Consider the following 24,079-nt stretch of genomic DNA (forward strand, 5'->3'; position numbering starts at 1 on the left):
TAAATTTTCAAGCTGGCTACAGTGGCTCACGCCTGTAATCCCAGCACTATGGGACACCGAGGCAGGCAGATCACCTGAGGCCCGGAGTTGAAGACCAGCCTGGCCAAGATGGTGAAACCCCATCTCTACTAAAAAATACAAAAAAATTAGCCAGGCATGGTGGTGCATGCCTGTCATCCAAGCTACTAAGATGGCTGAGGCACAAGAATCACTTGAACCCAAGAGGTGGAGGATGCAGTGAGCTAAGATCGTGGCACTGCACTCCAGCCTAGGTGACAGAGCAAGACTGTCTCAAAAAACAACTAAAATACAAATAATTTTTTAAGTAAATTTTCGAAATCAAGACCAACCTGGCCAACGTGGTGAAACCCCGTCTCTACTAAAAATACAAAAAGTAGCCGGGAGTGGTGGTGCACACCTGTAGTCCCAGCTACTTGGGAGGCTGAGGCAGGAGAATCGCCTGAACCCGGGAGATGGAGGCTGAAGTGAGCAAAGATCGTGCCACTGCAATCTAGCCTGGGCGACAGAGCAAGACTCCATCTCAAAAAAAAATAAATTATTATTAATTATTAATAAATTATAATTTATAATTATTTTATAATTTTATAATTATAAATTATAATATAATGGTTAATTATAAATTATTTATTTATTTATTTTTCATGAGAACCATGAGAAAAATTCTAAAAGGAATTAAGGTCTTGCCTTATCAGATATTTTTCAAATACTATAAAATAATTAGAATTGTGGTATCACTACAGAGTTATTCAACGAAATTAATCAATGGCAAAAAAAACAGGGTTGAGAGGCTGGGTGCAGTGGCTTACACCTATAATCCCAACACTTTGGGAGGCGAAGGCAGGCAGATCACCTGAGGTCGACAGTTCAAGAACAGCCTGACCAACACGGAGAAACCCCGTCTCTACTAAAAACACAAAATTAGCCGGGCGTGGTGGCACATGCCTGTAATCCCAGCTGTCAGGGGGATGAGACAGGAGAATCGCTTGAACCCAGGAGGTGGAAGTTGTGGTGAGCCGAGATTGCGCCATTGCACTCCAGCCTGGGCAACAAGAGCGAAACTCCATCTCAAAAAAAAAAAAGGACTGAAAAATAAACCCAAGTAAATATGGGAATTTGCCATGTAATAAAGGTGGATTTTTAACTGGTGAGGAAAAAGACTGAATTGTTCAATAAATGGTTTAAGACAAGTGAGTAGCCATTTGGTAAAAGGCAAAATAAAATATTGATGGATCCCTACCTCAATCCATAAATCAAATTAAATTATAAAAACATAAAGGTTGCATAAAAGTAAACCATCAGTACTAAAACACAACATGAGTGAATATTTTTATAACCTCAGAATTGGGAAATCCAGAAACCATAAAAAAAGCATTCATAAATTTTACCACATAAAAAATCAAAAACTAACGTACCAAAAGGAAAAAAAGCCCACAAAGCCCAAATATACCACAGAAAATATCTTCGACAGAAATATTCAATAAACTAGGCCGGGCCGGGCATGGTGGGTCATGCCTGTAATCCCAGCACTTTGGGAGGCCGAGGCGGGCAGATCATGAGGTCAGGAGATTGAGACCATCCCGGCTAACACAGTGAAACCCCGTCTCTACAAAAAATGCAAAAAATTAGCTGGGCGTGGTGGCGGGCGCCTGTAGTCCCAGCTACTTGGGAGGCTGAGGCAGGAGAACGGTGTGAACCCGGGAGGCGGAGCTCGCAGTGAGCCGAGATCGCGCCACTGCACTCCAGCCTGGGTGACACAGCGAGGCTCCATCTCAAAAAAAAAAAAAACTAGGCCAGGCGTGGTGGCTCGCGCCTATAATCCCAGCACTTTGAGAGGCCAAGGCAGGTGGATCACCTGAGGTCAGGTATTCAAGACCAGCCTGGCCAACATGGTGAAACCCCGTCTCTACTGAAAATACAAATGTTAGCCAGGAGTGGTGGCACGGACCTGTAATCCCAGCTACTTGGGAGGCTGAAGCAAAAGAATAGCTCGAATCTGGGAGGCAAAGGTTGCAGTGAGCTGAGATCACACCACAGCACTCCAGCCTGGGAAACAGAGCAAGACTCTGTCTCAAAAAAAAAAAACCAAGAAAGAAAGAAAGAAAAAAAGAAAGAAAAAAGAAATATTCGGCCGGGCGTGATGGCTCACGCCTGTAATCCAACACTTTGAGAGGCTGAGGCAGGCGGATCACATGGTCAGGAGTTCAAGACCAGCCTGGCCAACATAGTGAAACCCCTCTCTACAAAAATACAAAAATTACCCAGGCATAGTGGCAGGCACCTGTAGTCTCAGCTACTTGGGAGGCTGAGGCAGGAAAATCGCTTGAACCCAGGAAGCAGAGGTTGCAGCAAGCTGAGATCACACCACTGCACTCCAGCCTGGGCAACAGACTGAGACTCGGTCTCAAAAAAAAAAAAAAAAAAAAGAAAGAAATATTCAATAAGCTCTTGAAAATCAGTAAGAAAATGACCAACAATCCAGAACACACAATTCACAGGAGAAATACAAATGGCAAGTAAATATAAAAAGGAGAAGGGACACAGTGGCTCACGCCTGTAATCCCAGCACTTTGGGAGGCCAAGGCTGAGGATTTCTTGGGCCCAGGAGTTCAAGACCGGCCTGGGCAAAACATGAGATCCTATCTCTATAAAACTAAAAAATAAAATTAAAAAGATGCTCAATGTCACCAGCAAAAAATGGCAAATGAAAATAAGATGCTATTTTTCGCTAATCAGATGGAAGCTGGGAATAGAAATGCTTTGTATAAGGTAATAGGCACACTCACTCTAGAGGACCAGGATAAATGGTATGAACTTTTGACATCTATCAAAATTCTAAGCAGTCCCTTTACCTCAGCAATTTCTCATCTAGCAACCTAAGTGAAAACACTCACTCAACACTCAAGATCGATGCAGAGGGCTGGCTAGGGCAGCACGGGTTGTATTATCAAAAACCGGAAACCCCAAAGTCCATCAACAGGAAACTGGTTAAATAAATTATAATGAAGGTTAGGCACAGTGGCTCACACCTGTAATCCCAGCACTTTGGGAGGGCAAGGTGGAAGGACTGCTTGAAGCCAGGAATTCAAGACCAGTCAGGGCAGCAAAGCAAGACCCCATCTCTATTTTTAAAAAACTATGTAACTGGCTGGGTGTGGTGGCTCTACTAAAAATACAATAATTAGGTGGGTATGGTGGCATGCGCCTGTAATCCCAGCTACTCGGGAGGCTGAGGCAGGAGAATCACTTGAACCCAAAAGGTGGAGGTTGCAGTGAGAGCAGATAACGCCACTGCACTCCAGCCTGGGTGACAGAGCGAGACTCCGTCTCAAAATAATAATAATAATAATAATAATAATAATAATAATAATAATAAGGCAGGTATGTATTTGGGGCTCCTGCTAAATGAGATTTTAGCTTCTCTTGCCACACACAAAATTTGTAACTGTGAGATAACAGATGTCAATCTGCTTCATTACAGTTACCATTTTACTATCTGTATGTATGCTATGTTATATATCATAAACATACATAAGAATATTTTTTAAGAAAGAATAGGACCGGTCGCAGTGGCTCATGCCTGTAATCCCAGCACTTTGGGAGGCCAAGGTGGGCAGATCGCGAGGTCAGGAGATCGAGACCATCCTAGCCAACACAGTGAAACCATATCTCTACTAAAAATACAAAAATTAGCCGGGTGTGGTGGGGCGCCCCTGTAGTCCCAGCTACTCAGGAGGCTGAGGCAGGAGAATTGCTTGAACCCGGGAGGCAGAGGTTGCAGTGAGACGAGATTGCACCACTGTACTCCAGCCTGGCAACAGAGCAAGATTCTGTCTCAAAACAAACAAACGAAAAAAGAATAGCCAGGTGCGGTGGCTCACACCTGTAATCTCAACACTTCGGGAGGCTGAGGTGGGCAGATCACCTGAAGTTAGGAGTTTGAGACCAGCCTGGCCAACATGGTGAAACCCCGTCTCCACTAAACTACAAAAATTAGCCAAGCATGGTGGCCCATGCCTGTTGTCCCAGCTACTCCGGAGGCTGAGGCCCAAGAATCACTTGAACCTTGGGAGGCGGAGGTTGCAGTGAGCCAAATTCACGCACTGCACTCCAGCCTGGGCAACAAAGCTAGACTCTCTCAAAAATAAATAAATAAATAAATAAATAAATAAATAAATAAATAAATAAGGCAGCTCTACATGCATGAATAGAAACAAGTTGCAACAAAGTATGTATTGTGACTCCCCTTTGTTCTTTTTCCTTTGAGACAGGGTCTTGCTCTATCGCCCAAGCTGGAGTGCGGTGGCATGGTCTTGGCTCACTGCAACCTCCACCTCCCAAGCTTAAGCCATCCTCCCACCTCAGTCTCCAGTGTAGCTGGAACTATGGGTCCTCGTTAGGGTTATTTTGTTTGGTTGGTTGGTTTTTATTGAGACAGAGTCTCACTCTGTCACCCAGGTTGGCGTGCAGTGGCTCAATCTTGGCTCACTGCAACCTACACCTCCTGGGTTCAAGCAATTCTCGCGCCTCAGCCTCCTGAGTAGCTGGAATTACAGGTGTATGCCGCCACCATGCCCGGCTAATTTAGTAGAAATGGGTTTTTGCCATGTTGACCAGACTGGTCTCAAACTCCTGACCTCAAGTAATCCTCCCACCTCGGCCTAACAAAGTGTTGGGACTACAGGCGTAAGCCACCGTGCGTGGCCCTCATTAGGGTTTTGGGACTAGAGCTACAAAGCCACTGAAGTAAGGTGGCATGACACTGGCTTTCTAGAGTGCTTCACACATTTCTGTAATGTTTTAATTTAGTAATAGTCATATGATGTTTCCCTAATGAGAACAAAACAGACATTGTACTCCCTATACACGGCTGGAAGCATAAGTAAATCCAGCCTTTGAAAATTCATATCAAGGCTGGGCATGGTGACATGCACTTGTAATCCCAGCTATTCAGGAAGCTGAGGAAGGAAGATCCCTTGAGCCCAGGAGTTTGAGACCAGCCTAAGCAACATAGTAAGACCCCGTCTCAAAAACAAAACAAAACAAATTTCACATCAAAAGATTAACTGTAACAAAAAGAAATTGTAACAAAATAAATACATATTAAACATATGAAACCCTTTGCACTTAGATCAGAAAGTGTGACTAACACATTATGTTGGTGAGGGTATGATGTATATGTAAGATACTCTTACACATTGACAGGGAAATGTAAAGAGAAACCCTCATTCTGAGGGGCAATTTAGCAACATGGATCAATATGAAAAACACACATCCCTTACCCAACAATTTTACTTCCAGGAACTTACTTGACCACCAACCTCACTGTTAACAAACAAGTCTGCCCTCAAGACACATAATATTTGCAGAATTCTGTGGACAGAGGATTTAGTACACACTGCTTTCATCCTGTGATTGCCCTAAGTACTTTCAGAAATGTAAACAGTCCTGACACATGTGGTCTTTGAATATGGTCAAACACCTCATTCTTCAGCTTTGGTATCTCATAACAAATTGTTGCATAAAGTATGAAAAATACATATTGGTGATACTATTTATTTATTTAGTCTCTTCTTGCAAAGAGAAGAAATAAACAAAAGGAGAAAGGCTCATGTCTGGAATCCCAGCAATTTAGGAGGCTGAGGAGGGAGGACTGCTAGAGCCCAGGAGTTTGAGACCAGCCTGGGCAATGTGACAAGACTCTGTCTCTATAAAAAAGGAGAAAGTGAATAGTGTCTTGTCTCAAAAAAAAAAAAAAAAAAAAAAAAAAGAAGAAAGTGAGTAGAAAGAGAGCTTTTTGGATATCTAAATAAAAGCTGACAGGGCCAGGCACAGTGGCTCACGCCTGTAATCCCAGCACTTTGGGAGGCCAAGGCGGGGGGATCACTTGAGGTCAGGAGTTCGAGACCAGCCTGGCCAATATGGCAAAACCCCATCTCTACTAAAAATACAAAAATTAGCCGGGCGTGGTGCCTGCAATGCCAGCTACTCGGGAGGCTGAGGTAGGAGAACTGCTTGAACCTGGGAGGCGGAGGCTGCAGTGAGCCGAGTTTGTGCCGCTGCACTCCAGCCTGGGCAACAAGAGTGAAACTCTGTCTCAAAGAAAAAAAAAAAAAATTAGCCAGGTGTGGTGGTGCATGCCTGTAATCCCAGCTACTCAGGAGGCTGAGGCAGGAGAATCGCTTGAACATGGGAGGCGGAGGTTGCAGTGAGCCAAGATTGCGCCACTACACTCAGCCTGGACAACAGAGCCAGACTCCATCTGAAAAAAAAAAACAAAACACCAAAAATTAGCCGAGTGTGGTGGAGCATGCTTGTAGTCACAGCTACTCGGGATGCTGAAGTAGGAGGATGGCTTGAGCCCCTGGGAGGCAGAGGTTGCATTGAGCCAAGATTGCACCACTGTACTCCAGCCTGGGCAACAGAGCCAGACCTTGTCTCATAAAATTAACTAATTCATTAATTAAAACTGCTCAAACCTTGGGTGAGGTGTGGCTTCTTACAAGACCAAAAGCGTCAAAAAAAAAATAGTACAATGTTGGGGCCAGGTGGTTCACACCTGTAATCCCAGTACTCTGGGAAGCTGAAGCAGGACTGCTTGAGGCTAAAGGTTCAAGGTCAGCCTGGGTAACATAGTAAGACCCCAACTCTACAAAAAATACCAAAAAAATTAGCTGGGTGTGGTGGTACAACTTGCAGTTGTACCTACTGGGGATGTTGAGGCAAAAAGATCACTTGAGACCAGGAGTTTAAGGCTACAGTGAGCTACAATCACACCACTGCACTCCAGGTTGGGCAACAAAGCAAGAACCCTGCTTCACTGATAAGAATAAGAAGGCGGAGAAGAAGAAGAAATTGGACTACATCAACATGAAAAGCTTTTGTACTGAAAATGATACCACCAATAAAATTAAAAGCCATAGAAATTAGAAAAAATATTTGCAAATCATATATTTAATAAGGGACTTATATGCAGTATATATAAAGAACACAACTTGGCTGGATGCAGTGGCTCACGCCTGTAATCCTAGCACTTTGGGAGGCTGAGGTGGGCGTATCACAAGGTCAGGAGTTTGAGACCAGCCTGGCCAGCATAGTGAAACCCCGTCTCTACTAAATATACCAAAAAAAAAAAAAAAAAAAAATTAGCTAGGCGTGGCGGTGTGCGCCTGTAGTCCCAGCTACTCGGGAGGCTGAGGCAGGAGAATCGCTTGAACCTGGGAGGCGGAGGTTACAGTGAGCCGAGATGGCATCACTGCACTCCAGCCTGGGTGACAGAGTGAGACTCCGTCTGAAAAAAAAAAACAAAACAAAAACAAGACCAAAAAAAGATCACAACTCAATAACAAAAGGCAACTCAATTTAAAAGCACGCAAAGGATTTAAACAGACATTTCTCAAAAAAGATATATGAATGGCCAATAAGTACACAAAAAGATGTTTAACGTGATTAGTCATCAATGAAACACAAATCAAAACATAAGACACCACTTCGCACCCACTAGGATGGCTAAAAGAAAAAAGGCAGTAACAAGTATAGGGACATAGAGCAATTGGAATCCTCATATACTGCTTGTGAATATGTAAAATAGCGCAGCCACTCTGGAAAGTAACCTGACAATTCCTCAAAATATTAAACACAGACATGGTGGTTCGTGCCTACAGTCCCAGCTACCAGGGAAGCTGGGGCAGGAGTATTGATTGAGCCCAGGAGTTCAAGGACAGCCTACACAACATAGCAAGACCCTCATCTTAAAAAAAAAAAAAAAAAAAAAGCCAAAAAAAGGCCATGAACAGTTTCATTCATGCAATCCAAGCATTTCAGGGGGCCAAGGCAGGAGGATCACTTGAAGCAAGGAGTTCAAGACCAGCTTGGGCACCAAAGTGGGACTCCATTTCCACAAATTTTTTTTTTTTTTTGGAGACGGAGTCTCGTTCTGTCACCCAGGCTGGAGTGCAGTGGCGTATCTCAGCTCACTGCAAGCTCTGCCTCCCGGGTTCGTGCCATTCTCCTGCCTTTGCCTCCCGGGTTTATGCCATTCTCCTGCCCCAGCCTCCCGAGTAGCTGGGACTACAGGCATCCGCCACCATGCCCGGCTAATTTTTTGTATTTTTAGTAGAGACGGAGTTTCACCACGTTAGCCAGGATGGTCTCGATCTCCTGACCTCGTGATCCGCCAGCCTTGGCCTCCCACAGTGCTGAGGTTACAGGCGTGAGCCACCACGCCCAGCAAAAAAATTTTGTTTAATTAGCCTCGTGTTGTGGCATGTGCCTGTAGTGGCAGGAGGCTGAGGCGGGAGGATTGCTTGAGCCCAGGAGTTCAAGGCTGCAGTGAGCCATGATTGCACTGCAATACAGTCTGTGTTACAGAGTGAGACCTCATTAAAAATAAATAAATAAATAAAAGTTAAAAGAGCTGGGTGCGGTGGCTCAAGCCTGTAATCCCAGCACTTTGGGAGGCCGAGGTAGGTGGATCACCTGAGGTCAGGAGTTCAAGACCAGCCTGGCCAACTTGGCGAAACCCAGTCTCTACTAAAAAATACAAAAAATTAGCCGGGTGTGGTGGTGGGCGTCTGTAATCCCAGTGACTCAGAGGCTGAGGCACAAGAATCGCTTGAACCTAGGAGGCAGAGGTTGCAGTGAGCCGAGATGGCGCCACTGCACTCCAGCCTGGGCAACACAGAGAGACTCCGTCTCAAAAAAAAAATAATAATAATAATAAAAAGTTAAAAGTTACCACACAACCCAACAATCCCACTTCTTGCTCTATAACCAAGAGAAATAAAAATAAATGCCCACACAAAAACTACTACACTAATGTTCATAGCAACATTATAATAGCCAAAAAGTAGAAATGACCCAAATGTCTATCAGCAGATGAATGCAAATTAAAAATGTGGTAGATACAGAGATATGATGGCATATTATTGATCAATAAAAGGAAAAGAGGCAACGAGCACATGAAAAGACGCTGAACTCATTAGTCACTAGGAAAATGCAAATCAAAACTACAAAGATGCATCACTTCACACCCAAGTAGGAGGGCCTAACCAGAAAAACAGAAAATAGTACCTGTTTATGAGGATGATGAAGCATTTGAACCCTCATACATCACTGGTGGGAATGTAAATCGGTACAACCACTGTGGAAGTTTCGCGGTTCGGTTAAGTTAAACACAGAATTGACTGTGTATGACCCAGTAATTCCACTCCCAGGTAAAGAACTGAAATCAGATGTTCAGACCAAAACTTGTATGCAAATGTTCAGAGAAGTACTACTCAAAATAAGCAAAAGGTGGAAATAATCAAAATGTCCCTCAACTGATGAATAGATATATAAAATGTGGTATTATCCATAAAATGGAATACTACTCAGCCGTAAGGAATAAAGTAGTGACACATGCGCAGCAGGGATAACCCTTGGAAACATTACGTTAAGTGAAACCAGACACAAATGGCCACGTACTGTATAATTCCATTGCTATGAAATATTAATAGAGAAATCCAGAGACAGAAAGTAGATTAGCAGTTGCCAGGGGCTGGGCGAGGGGGGAAAATGGGAAGTGACTAACAGATGCTCAGTTTCCTTTTAGGATAATGAAAAGTTCTGGAACCAGACAGTGGTGATGGTTGTACAACACTATAAAGGTACTGAAACCCACCGAATTGTGCACTTTAAAATGGTAAACACTGTCATATGTATTTCCCAGGTATTTTTTTAATGAAATGAAGTGCTGAAACATGCTACAACATGGATGACCCTTAAATACATAAGTAAAGGAAATCAGTCACAAAAGTCCACGTATTTTAGGATTCCATTTATATGAAATGTCCAGAATAGGGAAATTTAGAGGCGGAACATACAGGGCATACAGAGCCAAGATAAGATAATTTTTTTTTTTTTTTTTTTTTTGAGACTGAGTCTCGCCCTGTTGCCCAAGCTGGAGTGCAGTGGCGTGATCTCGGCTCACCGCAACCTCCACCTCCCGGGTTCCAGGGTTCTCCTGCCTCAGCCACCCCAGTAGCTGGGATTACAGGCGCCCGCCACCACCCCCGGCTAATTTTTGTATTTTTAGTAGAGACGGGGTTTCACCATGCTGGCCAGGCTGGTCTCGAACTCCTGACCTCGTGATCCGCCCATCTCGGCCTCCCAAAGTGCTGGGATTACAGGCATGAGCCACCGCACCCGGCCTATTCTTTTTTCTTTTAAAATTTTTATTTTAAAAATTTATTTTTTTAAATTTATCCAGCGTCTCACGACGCTGTCTCGAAAAAAAAAAAAGTATCGGCCTGGCGGGCGGTGGCTCACGCCTGTAATGCCAGCACTTTGGGAGGCCAAGGCGGTCAAATTATCTGAGGTCAGGAGTTCGAGACCAGCCTGACCAACATGGAGAAACCCTGTCTCTACTAAAAATACAAAAAATAAAAATAATAAAAAAAAATTAGCCGGGCATGATGGTGCATGCCTGTAATCCCAGCTATTCAGGAGGCTGAGGCAGGAGAATCGCTTGAACCAAGGAGGCAGAGGTTGCAGTGAGCCGAGATCACGCCATTGCACTCTAGCCTGGGCAATAAGAGCGAAACACCGTCTCAATAAATAAATAAATATCAGAAATTGGCCCAGCATGGTGGCTCACGCCTGTAATCCCAGAAGAGGTGGGCAGATCGCTTGAGCCCAGAGCTCGAGACCAGCCTGGCCAACATGGCGAAAACCCGTCTCCACTAAAAATACAAAACTGAGTCGGGCGTGGTGGCCCGTGCCTCTAATCCCAGCTACTCCGGAGGCCGAGGTGGGAGGATCGCTTGAGCCTGGGAAACGGAGGTTGCAGTGAGCCGAGCTCGTGACACTGCACTCCAGCCTGTGTGACAGAGTGAGACCCTGTCTCAAAAACCACCAGAACTATTAGTAGTTTACATTATTTGGTTAGTCTGGAAACTAATTACGTTGAGAAACTGACTGAAGCTTGATTATTTCTATTATACACAGACTTCAAACATTCCAGAACTTACTGTTAAAGTCAGATTTACCCTCCTTGTGAGACAGACGCCCAGAGCTTGGACTTATTCGTTTGCTTTATAGAAACTCCCTAACTTATTTCACTTCTCATACTAGACTTTAAGCTCCAAAGCCAGAGACCATGACTTCCATTCCTTCCGGATCCCCCAGCGGAATGTAAAAACTCCAGAAAGCATTTCCTAAATGCCTGCCGAAAGACGGCTACTGAGCATGCCCGGCTTGGCCAAGTCAATTTCAACAACATTCTGAAACAAAAACTATAGTTCCCGCGTTACAAGGTGGAAAAAAGGGAATAAACGGGAGCAAAGCCTAAGGATTCAATCTATATGAGGGGGTTAAGGAAAGGTAAAGTTCAAGGGCGGCGCAGACGTGAAGGACAGCACTATCACAGCTTAAACTTGGTACTCGGTAAACTGGTGTCGAACCAGAACGACCAAAGAAAGGCTTAAAAAAAATACTAGATTAACGAGTGAGGGAAGGCCAACGGGGGTGCAGGGTATCGATGACGTAGGCTGACCACAGTTTTTTCTAAAGCTGCCCTCTACAAAAATAATACTAAGATGATCAGGCCTTCGGTGTCAACACCAACAAGATACACTGTGATGAAGCTCACTTCCAAAAAGTTCCTTTTTACAAACGAAAGAGCCGTGCTGTGGCCAAGATACCCCAACCATCAACGCTTGCTAAGCTCTCAGCTCCTGCCTTCATCTCCACCGCCATCTTCTGGATGGGAACCCAAACCTTCCTAAAGTGCTTTGGCCAGCATCACCTCCGCGCACAGCCCGGGAAGCCTGCGTTTCCCAGGTCGCGCAGACGGCGCAAAGGGGGAAACTCCACCTCGCTCGGCTCCGCGCCTCCCAAATGCACGCAAAGGGCTGCCGTCTTCCTTTCCCCTACCCCGCCCGGGCTTTCCAAGGTCCGGCGCGAGGAGCCCGCGAGGCGCGGTGCGCGGGCCTCACCTGCACACGCCGCGAATGCAGGGCTCCAGCCAGATGCGGTAAGCGGTCTCGATGTGCTCCTGCGACACCTCCTCGGGCCGCACCGTCTCCGCCCAGCGCCAGGCCGCCTTCTCCAGCTGCAGCCGCGGGGCCATGGCCTTGGCCCCAGGAACGCCTCCCGAGCCAGACCGCCGCAGCCGCCGCCGCGGTCTGCACCGCCGCCCCAATGGGCTTCGCCACCTGCCAGCAAGGAGGACCTGGCGCTCCTTCAGGCAGCTGGCCAGTCAATCACCTGTGCGCGCCACTGCCGCCGCGCCCGCCCGCGCCCGACCCGCACGACCGGCCGCAAAGCGCCGCCGTCGACACCCGACACACCCCGCGCCCGCGGACGTTAAAGGTGGACTCCCCGCCGCGCTGAGCGCATGCGCGTTCCCAGCAGCCTCTGCGCCTCCCGCGCCCCTAACCCGACGGGCTGAGGTAGAGGAAGCGTACGTCCGAGGCGGTCTTGCCACGTCCTCACTGGCACTTCTGGAAAAGCAGCGTCTCAGCCCCCGTTCAGGGCGGCGCACTACGTACCACTACTCTAACAAACCAGTGCCTCGAAAGCTATTTCTTGCCTCCGGTACTTCCCTTTTAACCATGAAGTTTTCACGCTAGAGGCTACTCAACGCACACACAGGCCCGCCCAGACTGTGGAGCGGGACCTGTTTAGAGTAGAAACCGAGTCGCCAAAGAAACCAGTGTTGGCTCTTTAGAGGGAGATTTAACTTGAGCCTAGACCGGTTCCGAACCCCTTTCCCGAGCCCTCCTGACGTCATGGGACCTTCCGGCCTTTTCCCGTGCTAGGGTGGGACTACGTGTCCCGGCATGCCCTGCGTCCTGCCACTGACTGTGAGGCATGCTGGGATTTGTAGTCTTCGAGGTGGGAGTGCTCAGTGCGCCGCAGACTGTGCGGGCGGGGGTCCGAGGTGCCAGGGTGGAGTTTCTCTGGTGCGCAAGGTCATGTTTGCTGTTGGCTCCCTTCTCAAGACTGTTACCTCTATGCCAGGATTTTCTAGTTCCTCTCTAGCTCCTGGTTTAAAACATTTCCTTTCTGCGACTCCTGCCCCAGGACATAAAGAGTAGCTTTATGAGAATTGTTTTGCAAACTGTAAAGAACTCTACTAAAGTGAGGATATTTAAGAATTTTGAATTTGAATTAGAGCTCTGCCAGAATCTAAGCGCTAACTTCTGACTCAGCTGCTTGCCTGCTGGAAAACCTTAGGCTGAATTCTTTAGATAAACATTCACTGGGCCGAGCACCGTGGCTCAAGGATCCAATCCCAGCACTTTGGGAGGCCGAGGTGGGCGGATCACCTGAGGTCAGGAGTTCGAGGCCAGCCTGACCAAAATGGAGAAACCCCGTCTCTACTAAAAATACAAAATTAGCAAGGCGCGGTCGCGCATGCCTGTAATCCCAGCTAGTCGGGAGGCAGAGGCAGGAGAATCGCTTGAACCCGGGAGGCGGAGGTTGTGGTTAGCCGAGATAACGCCATTGCACTCCAGCCTGGGCAACAAGAGTAAAACTCCGTCTCAAAAAAAACAAAAAAATTCGCTGAAGGCAGAAGAAAGTAAGATGTGGTCCCTGCCCTTGGAAGTGGGTTAGGGAGTGAGCGGTAGAAATACAAAGATCCCCATCCCAGTCTTGGGAGGCTTCGGGGTACTTGAGAAAAGGCTTCCCAGAAGTAATTCCGAAGCCCGCTTTTAACGGGTGAGTTGGACTTATCCAGGATAGAAGAAAGACACCATTCCAGAAAAAAAGAAACCACAAGGAGCAAAGGCACAGAAGAGAAAAGCTTGGCGTGAGAGGGCCACAATTTCTGAGACAGGGACAGGTGAGAGTTATGGCTTGAAAGGAAGACCTTGCCGCCGGGCGCGGTGGCTCACGCCTGTAATCCCAGCACTTTGGGAGGCCAAGGCGGGCGGATCACGAGATCAGGAGATCGAGACCATCCTGGCTAACACGGTGAAACCCCCTCTCTACTAAAAATACAAAAAAAATAGCCGGGCGTAGTGGCGGGCGCCTGTAGTCCCAGCTACTCTGGAGGCTGAGGCAGGAGAAGGGCGGGAACCCAGGAGGCGGAGCTTACAGTGAGCGGAGATCGCGCCACTGCCCTCCGGCCTGGGCGACTGAGCGAGACTCTGTCTCCAAAAAAAAAACAAAAACAAAACAAAACAACAATAACAACAACAATAAAACAACAATAACAACAAAAAAAAAAACAAAAAAAGGAAGACCTTTATTCAAAGTACCCACTGAAGATATACAGCTGTTGAGTGCTATAATGGAGATTTGCATTTTGTATAGTGAGGCAGAGAAGACTTTTTTTTTTCCTGAGACGGAGTTTTGCTCTTGTTGCCCAGGCTGGAGTGCAATGGTGTGGTCTGGGCTCACTGCAACCTCCGCCTCCTGGGTTCAAGCGATTCTCCTGCCTCAACCTCCCAAGTAGCTAGGATTACAGGCTTTTGCCACCACGCCCGCCTAATTTTTTTGTATTTTTTAGTAGAGACGGGGTTTCACTATGTTGGTCAGGCTGGTCTCGAACTCCGGACTTCAGGTGATCCGCCCACCTCGGCCTCTCAAAGTGCTGGGATTACAGGTGTGAGCTACCGCGCCTGGCCTCCTCCCCTTTTTAGACCATATAGGGTAACTTCCTGACTTTGCCATGGCATTTGTAACCTGTCATGCACTGGTGGGCATGTCTTTTAGCATGCTAATGTATAATAATTAGCGTATAATAATTAGCATATAATAAGCAGTGAGGACGACCAGAGGTCAGTCTCATGGCCATCTTGGTTTTGGTGGGTTTTAACCAGCTTCTTTACTGCATTCTGTTTTCTCAGCAATGTCTTTATGACCTGTATCTTGTGTAGACCTCCTATCTCATCCTGTGTCTAAGAATGCCTTAGGCCAGGCATGGTGGCTCATGCCTGTAATCCCAGCACTTTAGGAGGCCAAGGTGGGCGGATCACGAGGTCAGGAGTTCGAGATGAGCCTGGCCAACATAGTGAAACCCTGGGTCTACTAAAAATACAAAAATTAGCCAGGCATGGTGGCGGGCACCTGTAATCCCAGCTACTCAGGAGGCTGAGGCAGGACAATTGCTTGAACAGGAGGCGGAGGTTACAGTGAGCCAAGATCGTGGCATTGCACTCCATCCCAGGCGACGGTGGGAAACTCAGGCAAAAAAAATGTCTTCACCTCCTGGGAATGCAGCCCAGTAGGTCTCAGCCTTATTTTACCCAGCCCCCATTCAAGATAGAGTCACTCTGGTTCAAACGCCTTGGACAGAATGAGGACTTGCTACAGCTTGATGATGTTGACCTGACCGGTATATCTTCACCTTTCTGATATTTGACCTTCAAGTCTGGTCACACCCCTTTCCTCAGTATCCACAGCTCCCTGTGTCATCCCTTGCTTCACTTAGCACATGATGAAATTGTGACTATCATTCACCATGAAGACACTACTATATGGCAGTTTTCTAAATTGGATAATTAAATAGAATTTCTACCAAATGAGATAGCAACACCAGAAGAAGGAACAGATTTAGAAAGAAGATGATTTCGGCCAGGCACGGTAGCTCACGCCTGTAATCCAGCACTTTGGGAGGCCGAGGTGGACAGATCATCTGAGGTCAGGAGTTCGAGACCAGCTTGGGCAACATGGTGAAACCCTGTCTCTACAAAAATACAAAAATTTGCCAGGTGTGGTGGTAGGCACCTGTAGTCCCAGCTACTCAGAAGGCTGAAGTGGAGGGATTGCTTGAGCCCAGGAGGTCGAGGTTGCAGTGAGCAGAGATCTCACCACTGCACTCCAGTCTGGGCGACAGAGGGAGACCCTGTCTCAAAAACAAACAAACAAAACCCAAATGTGCTAATTTGCTGTAATTTCTCTGAAGTTTAACAAACCCTCTCTTGACTCCCACATCCCCCTCCAGCTACTGTCCCATTTCTCTTTTTCCCTTTATAGCAAAACTCCTGGAAAGCATTTTCTGTACTCTTCTCCAGTTCTCCTCCTATTCCTCCTTAAACCTCCCAAATCAGGTTCTTGCCTCTATCACCTCCAAAACTGCTCGTATGAAGAATGCCAATGGCCTTCACCTTGTTAAATGCAGTGGTAAACTCATACTCTATTTATTTTACTAGACCTGTTAGCAGCAATTGACCCAGTTATTCACTCTTTCCTCTTAGAAACACTTTCTTCTCTTAAATCACAGGGTGCCACACTCTCCTGGTTTTCTCTTTACTGCTGGCCATCCCTTCCGGTGTCCTTTGCAGCTTCTTTCTCCTCTAACCTGGAAACTTGAGTGGCCTAGGGTTCAGTCCTTTGGACCTCTCCTTTAACTTTGTTTACTCCCTGGGGGATCTTGTTAGAAATGCTTGTTCCCCAGTGCCGTAAAGAAGTAGCACTTACGGCCGGGCGCGGTGGCTCACACCTGTAATCCCAGCACTTTGGGAGGCCGAGGCAGGCAGATCATGAGGTCAAGAGATCAAGACCATCCTGGCCAACATGGTGAAACCCCGTCTCTACAAAAAATACAAAAAATTAGCTGGGCATGGTGGCACACGCCTGTAGTCCTAGCTACTCAGGAGGCTGAGGCAGGAGAATCGCTTGAACCTGGGAGGCAGCGGTTGCAGGGAGCCAAGATTGTGCCACTGCACTCCAGCCTGGCGACAGAGCGAGACTTCATCTAAAAAAAAAACAACAAAAAACAAATAGCACTTGAACATAAATTTAACATCCTCAGCAAGGCCATTTTTACTTTCTGCAGAAAGGGTACACTCGCCAGCAGTTTTGCCAGTAGAGTACACTGAACAAACAGGACAGGGTCATTTATAACCTGAAGCGTCCACCCTACTGCTGTGTCTGACTTCCATTGGCTGGAACAGGACCTCACATTCTATATTTGTCCTGATTGGCTAGCAACTTAGAACTTTTTAAAAGAGGCAAAGGCTGGCTGGGTGCAGTGGCTCACACCTGTAATCCCAGCACTTTGGGAGGCTGAGGGGGGCGGATCACCTGAGGTCAGGAGTTCGAGACCAGCCTGACCAACATGGAGAAACCCTGCCTCTACTAAAAATGCAAAAAAAAATTAGCCGGGCGTGGTGGCGCATGTCTGTAATCCCAGCTATCGGGAGGCTGAGGCAGGAGAATCGCTTGAACCTGGGAGGTGGAGGTTGCGGTGAGCCAAGATCATGCATTGCACTCCAGCTTGGGCAACAAGAGTGAAATTCTGTCTCAAAAAAAAGGAAAAAAAAAAGCAGAGGCAGAGGCGAACAAGGGAAGTAACCTGTGGAATGCTGAGAAAGGTAAAAACACCTTTAAATAAGGAAGAGGAACAGGCTATGACTCATGCTTGCTTGGACCAGTGTAAGCATGCCAGGGCAAATATTTAGGCTAAATTGTGGGAGCTAAGAACATAAAGTACATTGATTTCTTTATTACGGCTAGCAGATATTTAAGAATGTTAGCACAGGTCTTTGAATACATTTTGAGACGGAGTTTCACTCTTGTTGCCCAGGCTGGATGGCGCAATCTCCGCTCACCACAACCTCTGCCTCCCGGGTTCAGGCGATTCTCCTGCCTTAGCCACCCGAGTAGCTGGGATTACAGGCATGTGCCACCATGCCCGGCCAATTTTGTATTTTTTTAGTAGAGACGGGATTTCTCCACATTGGTCAGGCTGGTCTTGCACTCCTGACCTCAGGTGATCCGCCCACCTCAGCCTCCCAAAGTGCTAGGATTACAGGCGTGAGCCACCACGCCTGGGCTGAGAAGTAACTATTTATTCCTAATTAGATGGGGAGGAAAGTCTCTTTGAAGAGGAATCTCTACTTTACTTTTTACAATCTCATCTCCTCCTGCTGTGTGTGGATGACTCCTAAATTCACATCTCCAGACCTGACCTAACTTCTAAAATACTAGATTTATATATCCTGCTGCTTGCTTGGCGTCTCCAGTGTGCAATAGATATCTCACATGTTACAGGGCCAAAGTGTATTCCTATTCCACCCCAACCTCCCCTCTCCTCACATATCCTTCCATCCAAAAGACAGAAATCTTTCCATCTTGGTAGGTGTCAACTTCATCCTACCAGAAATCTTGCAGGCCGACTTCTCTCTTTCCCTTACATCCCCATCCAGTCCCGCAAAACCTGTCAGCTTGCCTTCAAAATAGATGTAGAGGCCAGGCAGATTAAGTGCTCACAAGCCCAGCACTTTTGGTGGCTGAGGCACACCACCACGCCCGGCTAATTTTTGTATTTTTGTGGAGTGATCTACAGATCACTTGAGGTCAGGAGTTCAAGACCAGCCTGGCCAACACGGCGAAAACCCGCCTCCACTAAAAATACAAAGAAAAAAAAAAAATTAGCTGTATGTGGTGGCACATGCCTGTAGTCCCAGCTACTTGGGAGGCTGAGGCAGGAGAATAGCTTGAACCCAGGAGGCGAGGGTTGCAGTGAGCCGAGATTGCGCCACTGCACTCCAGCCTGGGAGACAGAGCAAGACTCTGTCTCAAACAAACAGGAAAACAAAATATATGTAGAGTGCCATCACTGTTCTGTTATCATTATCACTCTGGTCTCACCCGGATTACTGCAAAAGCTTCCCAAATGGTGTAAACCAAAAATAAAATTTAAAGGTGTCGGCCAGGCGCAGTGGCTCACACCTGTAATCCCAGCACTTTGGGAGGCTGAAGCGGGTGGATCACCTGAGGTCAGGAGTTCGAGACCAGCCATGGCTAACATCATGAAACCCCGTTTCTACTAAAAATACAAAAAAATTAGCCGGGCGTGGTGGCACATGCCTGTAATCCCAGCTACTCGGGAGGCTGACGCAGGAGAATGGCTTGAACCCAGGAGGCAGAGGTTACAGTGAGCCGAGATCATACCACTGCACTTCAGTTTGGGCAACAAGAGCGAAACTCCGTCTAAAAAAAAAAAAAAATTCACAAGTGTCCCAACCACCTAAATGGACTCCCTCCTTGGCCAAGGTACTCAAAAGTTAACCTCAAAGACTGGTTCAGGCCTTGACAGGAAGTGGGGTTCAGCCATGCCTCATTATGCCCTCCTTCCGTTTGGGGTTTGGGAAAAGTGACCAGCATTTAACATCAACACAGACCTTAAGTCTTGAAGAAACATTTACAATCTATTTTCTTTGAAGCCTGCTACCTGGAGGCCTCATCTGCATGAGAAAACTTTGATCTCCACAAGCTCTTATCATAACCCAGACTATCCTTTCTATTGATAATAACTCTTTCAACCAGTTGCCAATCAGAAACATTTAAAATTTACCTATAACCTGGAAGCACCCCCTGCACCCTCCCTCACTTCTAGATGTCCTGCCTTTCTGGACTGAACCGATGTATATCTTAAATGTATTTGATCGATGTCTCATGTCTCCCTAAAAATGTATGAAACCAAGCTGCACCCCGACCACCTTGGCTACATGTTCTCAGGAGCTCCTGAGGGTCGGTGTCACAGGCTGTGGTCACTCATATTTGGCTCAGAATAAACCTCTTCAAATATTTTACAGAGTTTGACTCTTTTCGTCAATACTGGTCTTCCTGTTTTCACCCTTGCCCCCTTACATAGTCTGCTCTGGGCATGTAAATCATGTCATTCCTGAAAAACCTCCAAAGATTTCCTATCATTTAGAATAAATGACAAAGGGCTGAGCACAGTGGCTCATGCCTGTAATCTCAGCCTTTTGGAAGGCTGAGGCTAGAGGATTGCTTGCTTGAGGACAAGAGTTTGAGACCTATCTGAGCAACATAGTGAGACCCTGTCTCTACCAAAAAAAAAAAAAAAAAAAATTGCCAGGTGTGGTGGTGTGTGCCTGTGGTCCCCAACTACTCTGAAGGCTGAGGTGGTACCACAGGCACACACTCCATCACTACAAAAAAAAGTTTATAAAAATTACCCAGGTGAGGCCAGGTGCGGTGGCTCACGCCTGTAATCCCAGCACTTTGGGAAGCTGAGGTGGGTGGATTGCCTGAGATCAGGAGTTCAAGACCAGCCTGGTCAACATGGTAAAACCCCGTCTCTACTAAAAATACAAAAATTAGCTGGGTGTGATGGCGGGCACCTGTAATCCCAGCTACTTGGGAGGCTGAGGCAGAAGAATTGCTTGAGCCCAGGAGGTGGAGGTTGCAATGAGCTGAGATAGCACCACTGCACTCCAGCCTGGGCAACAAGAGAGAGACTCCATCTCAAAAAAAAAAAAAAAAAAGAAGGCTGGGTGCGGTGGCTCACGCCTGTAATCCCAGCACTTTGGGAGGCCGAGGCGGGTGGCTCAACTGAGGTCAGGAGTTTGAGACCAGCCTTGCCAACGTGGGGAAACCCCGTCTCTACTAAAAATACAAAAATTAGCTGGGCGTGGTGGTGGGCACCTGTAATCCCAGCTACTCGGGAGGCTGAGGCAGGAGAATCTCTTGAACCTGGTAGGTGGAGTTTGCAGTGAGCCAAGATTGCACCATTCCACTCCAGCCTGGGCAACAGAGCGAAACTCTGTCTCAAAAAAAAGAAAAAAAAAAGAAAGAAAGAAAGGGTTCTTGGAGTGCATGCAAGCTCCAAGAAAGAATTTGGGGTGAGTCCGTAGAATAAAGTGAAAGCAAGTTTATTAGAGAAGTAAAGATACGAAGGAATGAATATTCCTTGGACAGAGCAACTGTGTACTTGGACAGAGCAGGGTATACTTGAGATAGTTACTTTTTGATTATATGCTAAACAAGGGGTGGATTATTCATGAGTTTTCCGAGAAAGGGATGGGCATTTCCCAGAACTGAGAGTTCCTCCCCTTTTTAGACCTTAGAGGGTAACTTTCAGATGTTGCCACGGCATTTGTAAACTATCGTGGCGTGGTGGGTGTGTCTTTTAGCATGTTAATATATTATAATTAGCATGTAATAAGCAGTGAGGACAAGCAGAGGTCACCTTCATCACCATCTTGGTTTCAGTGGGTTTTGGCCAGCTTCCTTACCACATCCTGTGTTTTATCAGCAGGTCTTTATGAACTGTGTCTTGTGATACCAGTCGTGCTGGCCTCCTATCTCATCCTGTGACTGAGAATGCCTAACGTCGGCCGGGCATGGTGGCTCATGCCTGTAATCCTAGCACTTTGGGAGGCTGAAGCAGGCGGATCACGAGGTCAGGAGATGGAGACCATCCTGGCTAACATGGTGAAACCCTATCTCTACTAAAAATACAAAAAAATTGACCAGGCGTGGTGGTGGGTGCCTGTAATCCTAGCTACTCGGGAGGCTTAGGCAGGAGAATGGCGTGAACCCAGGAGGCAGAGCTTGCAGTGAGCCGAGATTGTGCCGCTGCACTCCAGCCCAGCAGGTCCCATCCTCATTCTGTCTAGCCCCTATTCAAGATGGAGTCATTCTGGTCAGAACAACCTCTGACAACAGGAACAGGAAGAAGACCTAAGAAGAGGGTTCAGAAGGAACAACTGTTAGATATGAGGAGAATCACAAGAACTATCTCAGAACCTTAGAGAGGAAAGCTAAAAGAAGCTGGAAATGATCAGCAATGGTTTTTGTTTGTTTGTTTGTTTTTTGAGACAGAGTCTCGCTCTGTCGCCCAGGCTGGAGTTCAGTGGCATGATCTCGGCTCACTGCAACCTCCACCTCCCAGGTTCAAGCAGTTCTCCTGTCTCAGCCTCCTGAGTAGCTGGGACTACAGGTGCACACCACCATGCCCAGCTAATTTTTGTATTTTTAGTAGAGACAGGGTTTCACCATATTGGCCAGGCTGGTCTTGAACTACTGACCTCAGGTGATCCACCCACCTTGGCCTCCCAAAGTGCTAGGATTACAGGCATGAGCCACCACGCCCAGCCTGATCAGCAATGTGAAATCTCCACCTTCCTCCTCATTTCTTGGCTCCTTTCATGGTGAATTTTATTTATTTATTTATTTATTATTCTTACTATTACTTTTTTGAGACAGAGTCTTGCTCTGTCAGCCAGGCCGGAGTACAGTGGTGCGATCTTGGCTCACTGCAACCTCTGCCTCCTGGGTTCAAGCAATTCTCCTGCCTCAGCCTCCTTAGTAGCTGGAATTGCAGGCACGTGTCACCACACCTGGCTAATTTTTGTAATTTTAGTAGAGATGGGGTTTCACCATGTTCGCCAGGCTGGTCTGGAACCCCTTACCTCGTGACCCGCCCACCTCGGCCTCCCAAAGTGCTGGTATTACAGGTGTGAGCCACCACACCCGGCCTTTTTTTTTTTTTCTTTTTTGAGACAGGGTCTCAATCTCTCACCCAGGCTGGAGTGCAGTGGTATGTTCTCAACTTACTGCAACCTCGACCTCCCAGGTTCAAGGCCACCTCAGCCTCTCCAGTAGCTGAGACTACAGGCATTTGCCATCACATGTGGCTAATTTTTAAATTTTTTTGTACAGATAGGGTCTCACTATATTGCCCAGGCTGGTCTACCACTCTTGGGATCAAGTGACCTTCATGCTTTGGCTTCCCAAAGTACTGGGATTACAGGCATGAGCCACCACACCTAGCCAATTTGTTTTTTTAGACAGGGTCTTTGAATGTCACCCAGGCTGAGGCAGGAGGATTGCTTGAGCCTTGAAGTTTGAGACTCACTGCAGCCTCAACCTCTTCAGGCTCGGGTAATCCTCCCACCCCAGCCTCCTGACTAGCTGGGACTACAAGCATAAACCACCATGCCCAACTAATTTTTGTATTTTTTTTTTTTTTTTGTAGAGAGGAAGTTTTTTTGTTTTTGTTTTTGTTTTGTTTTTTTTTTTTTGAGACGGAGTCTCACTCTGTCGCCCAGGCTGGAGTGCAGCGGCGTGATCTCGGCTCACTGCAAGCTCTGCCTCCTGGGTTCACGCCATTCTCCTGCCTCAGTCTCCCGAGTAGCTAGGACTACAGAAGCCTGCCACCATGCCTGGCTAATTTTCTGTATTTTTAGTAGAGATGGGGTTTCTCCGTGTTAGCCAGGATGGTCTCAATCTCCTGATCTCGTGATCCACCCGCCTCGGCCTCCCAAAGTGCTGGGATTACAGGTGTGAGCCACCATGGCTGACGAAAGGAAGTTTCTTCATGTTTCCCAGATTGGTCCTGAAGTCCTGGGCTCAAGCAAACCAGCCAATTTTTATTTTTCTAGTTAACTACTTTTTAAAAAGTCCAAAGAAACAAGTAAAATTAATTTAATAATATCTTTACATTAGCTGGACGTGGTGGCACGTGCCTGCAGTCCCAGCTACTCGGGAGGCTGAGGCAAAAGAATCGCTTGAACCTGGGTGGCAGAGGTTGTAGTGAGCTGAAATTGTGCCACTGCACTCCACCCTGGGTGACAGAGTGAGACTCCGTCTCGAAAAATAAAAATAAGAAAAAATAATATCTTTAACTTGGCTGGGCGTGGTGGCTCGTGCCTGTAATCCTAGCACTTTGGGAGGCCAAGGCAGGTAGATTGCTTGAGCCCAGGATTTCGGACCAGCATAGTGAAATGTTCAAGGCAACATGGCTAAACCCTGTCTCTCTACAAGAAATACAAAAGTTACCTGGTTGTGGTGGCATGCACCTGTAGTCCCAGCTACTCGTGAGGCTGAGGTAGGAGGATCACTTGAGCCTGGGAGGCAAAGGTTGCAGCGAGCTAAGATCATACCACTGCACTCCGGCCTGGGTGACAGAGTGAGACCTTGTCTCAAAAAAAAAAAAAAATCTTTAGTATATTTAGAACATTTACATTTCCACATGTAATCAATATTTTTCAGTATTATGAAAAGACTAATGAGATATTCTACATTATTTTTTCCACACTAAGTTTTGGAACTCTCGTGTGTATTTTGCACTTACAGCTCATCTCAGTTCACAGGAGCCACATTTCAAGTGCTCAATAGCCACGTATGGCAAGTGGCTACCCTAGTAGATGGCACAGATCTACACCCTTTTGGCTTCCTCATCTGCTATGTACTCATCAACCAACTCTAGTCTGGCCTATGACCTTGTCACTCTTCTACAGCTCCTTTATCAAGGTTACCATGACTTCCATGTTACCAAATTCAGTGGTCTTCTTTCAGGCCTCAGCTCTCTGCA

General features: G+C 46.8%; 1 protein-coding gene across 15 annotated transcripts in view, besides 9 other annotated features; it reads right to left on the reverse strand.

The window, feature by feature from the left end:
• USP48 (ubiquitin specific peptidase 48) overlaps positions 1 to 12,319 on the reverse strand; it is a 104,852-nt gene extending 92,533 nt beyond the window's left edge. For all 15 annotated transcript variants that reach the window (XM_047432030.1, NM_001350164.2, NM_001350166.2 and 12 more), the window contains exon 1: positions 11,994 to 12,319. In XM_047432030.1, the coding sequence (XP_047287986.1) occupies positions 11,994 to 12,127 (134 nt within the window). In that variant the 5' untranslated portion in view covers positions 12,128 to 12,319. The remainder of the gene's footprint in view (positions 1 to 11,993) is intronic.
• Positions 1,744 to 2,243: an enhancer, noted in NCBI's record as "H3K27ac hESC enhancer chr1:22099067-22099566 (GRCh37/hg19 assembly coordinates)". NCBI's record gives its function as "activates a minimal SCP1, AML or CMV promoter by ChIP-STARR-seq in naive H9 embryonic stem cells {active_cell/tissue: H9 hESC(naive)}" and the evidence as "EXISTENCE:reporter gene assay evidence [ECO:0000049][PMID:30033119]".
• Positions 11,003 to 11,052: an enhancer, noted in NCBI's record as "active region_337". NCBI's record gives its function as "activates an Ori minimal core promoter by ATAC-STARR-seq in GM12878 lymphoblastoid cells {active_cell/tissue: GM12878}" and the evidence as "EXISTENCE:reporter gene assay evidence [ECO:0000049][PMID:35858748]".
• Positions 11,365 to 12,136: an enhancer, noted in NCBI's record as "NANOG-H3K27ac-H3K4me1 hESC enhancer chr1:22108688-22109459 (GRCh37/hg19 assembly coordinates)". NCBI's record gives its function as "activates a minimal SCP1, AML or CMV promoter by ChIP-STARR-seq in naive H9 embryonic stem cells {active_cell/tissue: H9 hESC(naive)}" and the evidence as "EXISTENCE:reporter gene assay evidence [ECO:0000049][PMID:30033119]".
• Positions 11,613 to 11,712: an enhancer, noted in NCBI's record as "active region_338". NCBI's record gives its function as "activates an Ori minimal core promoter by ATAC-STARR-seq in GM12878 lymphoblastoid cells {active_cell/tissue: GM12878}" and the evidence as "EXISTENCE:reporter gene assay evidence [ECO:0000049][PMID:35858748]".
• Positions 12,083 to 12,442: a silencer, noted in NCBI's record as "silent region_389". NCBI's record gives its function as "represses an Ori minimal core promoter by ATAC-STARR-seq in GM12878 lymphoblastoid cells {active_cell/tissue: GM12878}" and the evidence as "EXISTENCE:reporter gene assay evidence [ECO:0000049][PMID:35858748]".
• Positions 12,083 to 12,907: a biological region, named in NCBI's record as "NANOG-H3K27ac-H3K4me1 hESC enhancer GRCh37_chr1:22109460-22110230".
• Positions 12,137 to 12,907: an enhancer, noted in NCBI's record as "NANOG-H3K27ac-H3K4me1 hESC enhancer chr1:22109460-22110230 (GRCh37/hg19 assembly coordinates)". NCBI's record gives its function as "activates a minimal SCP1, AML or CMV promoter by ChIP-STARR-seq in primed H9 embryonic stem cells {active_cell/tissue: H9 hESC(primed)}" and the evidence as "EXISTENCE:reporter gene assay evidence [ECO:0000049][PMID:30033119]".
• Positions 12,653 to 12,702: an enhancer, noted in NCBI's record as "active region_339". NCBI's record gives its function as "activates an Ori minimal core promoter by ATAC-STARR-seq in GM12878 lymphoblastoid cells {active_cell/tissue: GM12878}" and the evidence as "EXISTENCE:reporter gene assay evidence [ECO:0000049][PMID:35858748]".
• Positions 14,830 to 15,004: a silencer, noted in NCBI's record as "fragment chr1:22112153-22112327 (GRCh37/hg19 assembly coordinates)". NCBI's record gives its function as "represses an EF-1alpha promoter that drives an FKBP-Casp9 reporter gene in an ReSE screen in K562 erythroleukemia cells {active_cell/tissue: K562}" and the evidence as "EXISTENCE:reporter gene assay evidence [ECO:0000049][PMID:32094911]".

This window comes from Homo sapiens, chromosome 1 (assembly GCF_000001405.40).
Source record: "Homo sapiens chromosome 1, GRCh38.p14 Primary Assembly".
In the NCBI taxonomy this organism is placed as follows: Eukaryota; Metazoa; Chordata; class Mammalia; order Primates; family Hominidae; genus Homo; species Homo sapiens.